This window comes from Homo sapiens, chromosome 9, assembly GCF_000001405.40.
Source record: "Homo sapiens chromosome 9, GRCh38.p14 Primary Assembly".
Classification (NCBI taxonomy): Eukaryota; Metazoa; Chordata; class Mammalia; order Primates; family Hominidae; genus Homo; species Homo sapiens.
In genome coordinates this window covers 119074065-119082124 of record NC_000009.12, presented here as the reverse complement: position 1 = coordinate 119082124, position 8060 = coordinate 119074065, and the positions used below count along the sequence as shown (strand labels likewise).

General features: G+C 40.8%; 2 annotated features.

Annotated features, from left to right (window-relative positions):
* Positions 1449–1620: a silencer, noted in NCBI's record as "fragment chr9:121842783-121842954 (GRCh37/hg19 assembly coordinates)". NCBI's record gives its function as "represses an EF-1alpha promoter that drives an FKBP-Casp9 reporter gene in an ReSE screen in K562 erythroleukemia cells {active_cell/tissue: K562}" and the evidence as "EXISTENCE:reporter gene assay evidence [ECO:0000049][PMID:32094911]".
* Positions 3820–4114: a silencer, noted in NCBI's record as "tiled region #8806; K562 Repressive non-DNase unmatched - State 24:Quies". NCBI's record gives its function as "represses a minimal TATA promoter and a strong SV40 promoter by Sharpr-MPRA in K562 cells {active_cell/tissue: K562}" and the evidence as "EXISTENCE:reporter gene assay evidence [ECO:0000049][PMID:27701403]".

The following is an 8060-nucleotide window of genomic DNA, read 5'->3' as shown; positions in this document are numbered from 1 at the left end:
GCTGACACAATCTATTTCTGAGAGCAAATTCTCAGCTCCATGTTCCCCCAGTGATATATAGGCTGAAGCCTTCTGAGATTTTCCAGAAAGGCTCTTGTTCCTCAATAAAAGTGGCAAATGAAATTGGTATATCTCCTCAGCCTTTTTACCTTGAATTCAGATGCAATGACTGGAGCTGCAACAACTGTCTTGTGATCATGAGTGGACAAACATTAAAAAAATGGCAAAAGGAACTAGTAATCTATAGACATCAATCCCAATATTCTCGAGCTGTTAAAGCAATTCTTCACTCTGAACCCTTATTTTACAAGATAAAATAAACTCCTACTGGTTTTAGCCACTTTAGTTAGATGTTTTTGTTATTTGCAGCCAATCACAGCCCCAACTGGTACAAAGCTCAAATATAGCACCAGTCACGTAATATAAACTTAATAAATATTCATGCTCTTCCCAATTCAGTCACCTGCTTTTCATCAGTAAATGTCTTTTTCTTATATATTTCTCTACTGTTTCTTCTCTTTATTTGGTTTATTATGTGTATTCTAATATGAGACAGAGAGAGAGAGAGAGAGAGAGAGAGAGAGATTGCAATTATCCTGAGAAGCTTAAAGTTCTGTTGGAAGATGAGACACAGATACCATAAAATAATAACTTCATATCTCATCTTGTTGGGATACAGGGACAAGATCTGTGTTCCAAATCCTATTATGCTATTAACAGTAGCATAATTCTGGAATGTCACTTCATCATTTGGACCTTTATTAACTCTTTTGCAAAGTGAGGTTTTGATCATCTTTAATTTAGTGCTTCTCAAAAGATATTTCACAAACCACCACCATCTAAATCACTGATGAAGCTTGTTAAATGCAGATTCCTGGTCCCCACCTGAGACTAAGTCAGAGTCTCTTGGGCTGAAGACTAATGATTGGCAAAATAAACATGCTCCTGGAGTTGTTATAGCACTGAAGTTTGAGAACCATCGTTAAGTTCTATTCTTGTTTTAGCATTCTTTGATTCACTTGGAATTGAATTCACACGGTAGATTTTACATTGTACAGATAATATAGCAATTTGATGTTTTAAAGCTTTGTTTTAATTGATTTAAGAAGATTAACAGATAAGGCCCTAATGCAGCTGGAGATTCCAGCGCCTTCTAAACCAGAACTTAAGTTTAGTGACAATTGTTGGCTTAAATTATAAGAACCTCCACAGTATCTGCTGCTGGAGCTGTTCGGTGTTGTCAAAATACCCTCTGTGCATATGTGTCAGTGTGGATGTGTGTTTGGACACATGCATGCCTGTGTATAAATATATGCATGACCACATATGGATGTACACGTGGACATGTGTATGCCTATGTGCTTAGGCATATACTAATGTGTGCACATAGGGACTTACTGTATATCTCTATATGTAGCTATCTGTGTTTATAGAGGCAGATATTTTTACACATCTGCACTTGTACTTTCACATAAGAATACACATATGTATGTAGATTTTTTTTTTTTTTTTTTTTTGAAACGGAGTCTTGCTCTGTCACCCAGGCTGGAGTGCTGGAGTGCAGTGGCGCTATCTCGGCTCACTGCAACTTCCGCCTCCTGGGTTCACACCATTCTCCTGCCTCAGCCTCCCGAGTAGCTGGGACTATAGGTGCCTGCCACCACGCCTGGCTAATATTTTTGTATTTTTAGTAGAGACGGGTTTTCACTGTATTAGCCAGGATGGTCTTGATCTCCTGACCTCGTGATCTGCCCGCCTCAGCCTCCCAAAGTGCTGGGATTACAGGCATGAGCCACCGCGCCTGGCCAGATGTAGCTCTTTTTTACATCATACTCACAATTCAATTGCAGGTTGAGTTGTGAGTAGAAAACAATAATCTTTATATAGTAGTCCTTGAAGTGTTGGGAAATAGAAGAAACTGGATGGTTTGCAGAGGTTAGACTCATGATGTTAATTTCATTTAGTTTCTTGAAATGTCTTTTTGTAAAGATAGTTTTTGATAACACAGGAGAGAACACTAGACGTCTGGTACTAGCACTATGGATAATACATTGAATGGTCTTGGGCAAATCGGGCCATCTCCATGACTCTCAGTTTTTTTTTTTCTATAGTCTCAGAGCTCTTTGTTCAAACCTATGTGACAATACTTAGAGTTTGTGTTTACCTCTTTTTCTTAAAATATTAATGTCCCTTTGATAATAGGAACTATTCAGCTCCAATGTCTATAAGAGAGTCTAGCATACCATGATGGTGGTGGTGATGAAGATGATCATGATGGTGACAATGGGAGCTAATATTTATTGAGTTCCATGTTGTAACAGCACTTTCAAGCACTTTACATGGATCACTTCATTTAATTTTCACAACAAACCTTCAAGTAAGTAGTAGCATTTTCCCCATTTTAGAAAGACATGGCTCAGAGAAATCAATTAACCTGCACAGTGCTAGCAGGCTAGGAATTAACATACCTTGAATCCAAATCTATGCCTGTCTGTCTCTGAGTGACCTTAATGGATCACCGTGAGATACTGCTCAGTAAAGAGTTATTGAATAGTACAGTAATAGAATAATATTTAGTAGAATGAAATGCTTATGGGAGGCTCTTCACAAAGAACCTCATTTACAGAGAATAGTTTAGTTAATGGGAGAAGCTCGTTTAGGATCAAATCCAGAAAGACACATTTTAAAAGTAAAAGTGATCACAAAGCTCATCAGACCCAATGACTTTTTTATATATTAAGGAATTTGAAGCCTAAGGAGGTAAAGTGACTCACTCAAAGTGATACAATTGTAGTTATGTAGTAACAATAACACTAGTATCTTCTGTTCTTAATTCCCAGTCCAAGCCTCTTTTCTACTATACCTGAGACTTTGCATCATTTCCTCCTGTTATGCAAAAAGACAAAACAAATTCCAGGTTACCTTGCAGGGGGGCCCAGCCTTTTGGCTTCCCTGGGCCACACTGAAAGAAGAAGAATTATCTTGGGCTGCACATAAAATACACTCACACTAACAACAGCTGATGAGCCAAAAAAATTTCAAAAAAAAATCTCCTAATGTTTTAAGAAAGTTTATGAATTTGTATTGGGCCATACTCAAAACCATCCTGGGCTGCATGGGACCTGCAGACTGTGGGTTAGACAAGGTTGCTTATGGTATCTATGACAATGAAGAAAATCAGTGGAAATTTCCTCTACGTAAACACAAGTTACAATTATCATTGTTATTGTCATAGTTATGCTGCTTATGCCTCTGATCTCTGTCTGCTCTTAGAGTCAACGGACAGTCACCAGGACAAGCAAATTAAACACTCGTAAGTGCCCATCATGACTCCATGTGAACCCAGGAGACAAAGCTCTCATGGGCCAATTGTCTCATTCTCCCAAAGTGCCTCATCTCATAATTAAAAATTAAACCGTTTTCCAATGAAATAATTTTGTTCATTCTTCTTGCTTCTGCTCCAGAGCCTGTGGCACCAGCTAAATTTCGAATTAAATAATTCAACTGCAATACATTTAAAACAGATCACATTTAGGGCTACACTCGCAATTGGCTGCAAAACCAGGCCAGTTGTACAAGATCCCTGTGGATGTCACCCACCAAGGATGTACAAGGCGTGGGATTCTGTTCATGAAATCTGGCTACCTCTCCCTTCCCTTTTTTCTCATTATCGGCTCTAGCATCACAAAATCTTTTTTTCCCCCTTATCCATTTTGTCTCATTTTTATCCCTTTGTTCTCTTTTTTCCTCCCTTTTGATTAAAAGCTTCCTTAAAAAAAAAAGGGAAAAACAGAATACTCCAGTTTGCTTTTCTGATGGGCTGTTCTCTATTTGCATTCAACACCTGCTCACTTGCTAGGACAATAGAGACACATTACAACTCTCTCCATGCAAGGGGGGTGTAGGTGGCAGGATGGATTGACTGACTGTGCTGAGTCAAATGCCTTCTTCTCCTGGGGCTGCCAGTTTTGATCTGGCTCAGGTTTCCAGGATTTCAGAATCATTATTTCACTTGACAGATGATATTGTAAAAACAGCTTGCCCTGCTAATAGTCTTTACCTGGGGAGTCAGCATGGCAGTGATGAGTGCTGTGGCCAAGTACCCCGGGCAGGCAGGGGGCATGGGTTTGATGTCCAGCTGTGTGATCTTGAGGGAGCCACTTAACCACCCTGCATCTCAGTTTCCTCAACTGAACTCTTCTTTGCTCAGACATAGTCATAGTTTTATCTGTTCCCAGGCTTACAAGTAACAGGGAAATTTAAACTGCACATGAACTTTAGGGAAGGTCCACCAGGATTACATGTTAATGAGGACAGCCAAACTAGAAACATCAACTGTTAGGAAGAGAACATGGATGATGTTTTCCCCACAAATCAAGTATTTGTTAAGTGAAGGAAATTCCTATTCTACTGCTAATTTACTTTCCATTTCTCTTTGCTTTCATTCTTTCTCTGTTTCAGAGGATGGGCAATCGCTTGCTGAGGTTGAGAGAAGGATCTAGGTGTGCTCATCAGGCATTTCCAGGCTGCCTTTTTTAGAGCTAACCTGTCCATAGGACCTGCATATCTCCATTATTCTATTGATAAGCTTTTAGAGGCAGTCTCTGCTCAGATCGAGGTGGGGGTCTCGGGGCACAGGGGTGCAGGGCTATCTACGACGGGCAGGTAAATTTAATTCAAGGGTGAGGTAAAGGAAGCCCCGAATGACTGCTCACCTGTTTTCCCATCCCAAAAGCTTTTGTTGGTAGTAAACCTGAAATGTTTGATCTTTATTTGTGTGCTTCTTGAATCTTATTACCAATAAGTTCTGAATATTGTAGAGAAAGAGGCAGTGTTACTCATTAGTCTTCTAAACTTTTTTTTTTATTGCAGATGCCTGAGGAAAGATGAAACATGCCTTAGAAAGAAGGAAAAGTTTGGCTCTTTGAAGCCCTGAAGAACCACTTAGGACCAGCTATGGGAGGGAAACATTCCCATGGGAGGGAAATAGTGGAGGGGAAATCTCTGGAGGTAGTGAGCTCTCCATCACAGGGTGTGTTCTCTTTCTGGTACCATTAATCACTACTATGCACTTTCAGGCACTGATTATTTTACATTGATGTGGAGATAGATGATATAATTGGGGAGCAGGTTTGGCAATATTCCTGGGTACTACTTGACAGGTGTAAGTCCTGCCGCTTTCTTCTACAAGGGCTTTCTCAGTGGCAGATGCCAGGATGGATGTGGTCTTGAATAATTAGTGATTGTGTTGGTCATTTGTGGCTGCATGTTTATAGAGAGAGAACACAAGTTTACCATGCCATGCTAAGGACATAGCAAATGCCTTTACTCCCTGTCAATGCACCTATGGGGATACACAACACACACACACACACATAAACATGCATATGCACACACACACACATATTCAAGGATGCCATTCATTTGTCCTATTTATTAAAATGTGCTTGAGAAACATAGTCATTTTGGAGCAAATACAAGGATAAAAAAAATAGAAAGCTATGAAAAGAAAGTGCAGAATCATTTCCCAGAGAGACTACCAAGTTATGGCACAGTTAGAACAATCGATCTAAGACAAACAGAAAAAATAGCAGACTAGGAACTCTACTGTGTGGCATGACTTCCGGAAGTGTGGAGGCCACCATGATTAGAGACTAAGGGAGGAGATCTTTGATCATCACATATTATTACAAAGTAGCTGATGCTTGTCAACCTACTTGCAGTAGCTTGTGCTTGATTCTGGGAGCTACTAATGATAAGCTTCTACTGATTTTACCTGTCATAACTGGCTCTAGTAGGACAGGATCTGGAAGCAAACGAGCCTGCCAGCCTCATAGGCATGGAGAGACCTGGGGCTCAACACTGGTCATTGAGAAGAGCCCCTTCTTCATTCCTCATTTTACCCTGGCCTCAGTGGTCACCAGCATGTGAGCATTAAAGTCACCCATGCATACGCCACATTCTTGTTTGTTTAAGTTGAATATTAATCAGCAATAGGGAGAACACAGGATCTACAGTCAGTGATTAAAGTTTAAGATCAGGTAGGTGGCGGCCGAGCACGGTGGCTCACACCTGTAATGCCAGCACTTTGGAAGGCCAAGGCAGGTGGATCACCTGACATCAGGAGTTTGAGACCAGCCTGGCCAACATGGTGAACCCCCGTCTCTACTGAAATACAAAAATGACCTGGGCATGGTGACATGAGCCTGTAATCCCAGCTCTTCTAGAGACTGAGGCACAAGAATTGCTTGAACCCCGGAGGCAGAGGTTGCAGTGAGGCAAGATCATGCCACTGCTCTCCAGCCTGGGCGACAAGAGCAAAATTCTGTCTCAAAAAAAAAAAAAAAGAGCAGGAGGTGGGAAACCAATTTATTAACAGATTCTCCATCTGAGGTGTTAAAACTGCCTGCTTTTCTTTGCAAGCTTCAAGTAGAATCTAGAAAAAGAAAGTGCAAAGAAATTTGAGGAAAGGCACAAAACGGAAAGTGTCCCTTTCCTGAACAAGGCTCTTTAGTTAATTTCCCATTCACCTAACTCACAGAATAGTGGAAAAGAGGCCCAGTTTCTATGGCTGAGGAGCTGTGCTTGAGAAAGCTTTATTGTTTCTAATGCTGTGCTTCTGGGTAATTTGCTTGCCTTCTGGTCCTCAGTTTTCTCATCCATTAAATGGGGGAGAGGGTCATAATAACAGCAATTTTTTCACTAGGTTGTAATTATTGGAACCAACTGATATGAAAGTATTATACAATATAATATACCAGCATTCCTACTGTTTCCCCAACTAGAGTTCTGTGAGATTTCTATGGTTAAGTAAAATACATGACATTAATATAAGAATGGCCCTGATGATACCTGATGTAAATAAACACAGAGTAAATATAAAGAAACAAAATTCTTGTTTAGCTTTTCAACCTAGTAGTTTTAACATCTGACTTTACCCTTGAATTCAGTCTCCCGGCGGTGCCACTTCATGTCCCATTTCATATGCTTTGAGGAATTCAAGGTTATGCAAAGAACTTCTGTTTTGGCAAAATGACTAAGCTTAGGGTAGGAGAGGGATTGACAGGCAAGTCAAGGAACGCATTGAAGATCATATGGTGCCACACCACCGCACGCCAAATGTTTTTGCTTGACAATTTTCTGAAAGTTTTGTCATGGATTAGATCAGGAAACCATTAAAAACATGGCAACAACCCTAGAAGTCAGGGTTCAGCGGAAACCTGGACAAGTTATTTTCCTTAAAAGGACCTCTATTTCCTCATCTGTGCTCTGAGGCAAATATCTAGGGTCAGTGTCAACCATATAGATCATCAGCATCAGAATTACTCAGGTTTAAAGACAGATTCCTGAGCCTCACCCAGACTTAGAATAGGAAGGGAATATTCTCGTCAGTAGTTTCCCCAATGGGAAATTTTATGCTCCTGAGTGTTTAAGCGGTTGTTGAGAATAATCTCCAAGCTATACCAACTCTAGCATCCTTAGCTTCCTTTACATTTAAGTATTTGAAGCAAGATGTCCACAGAAAAAATAAAAATAGAGATCAGGAGCCTCAGAAAAAAAGCATCTCCTCCCCATAGGGAAACGCATGGAAGATCAGCCAATACCACCTGTGCACTTGTCAGGACCCACAAGGAAAGCAAAGCAGAGTTGGCCTGTTATCTTGCTCTTCCATTGTAATTCTAGCAAGGTTCATGCACGCCTATGTAGATGACTCTCTGAACTGGCCCATCTGAAGTCAGGACTGTCGGAGTGAAATACAAAATATCACAGAGTTGATTTAATGGCCTTTAAAAGTCCCTCCTGAGCGGCTGTGGAGCTCCTTGTCTGTTTCCCTATGCACTGCTGTGCTCTTAAAGCTGTCACCATTAATCACTGCCCACCGTCCTGATAGCATTTGGTCACACATCAAGGGGACGGAAGTGGTTTCTGAAGGGTTCTGGTGTGTGATGTGGCCACCTTAACCCTAAACCACATCTTCCTTCATTTTCAGTGGTGGGTGTGGCATCTAGTTTCTATTAGACACCTCTCTGGAGGTGTCTGGAGGTAAATGCTGGCTTTAC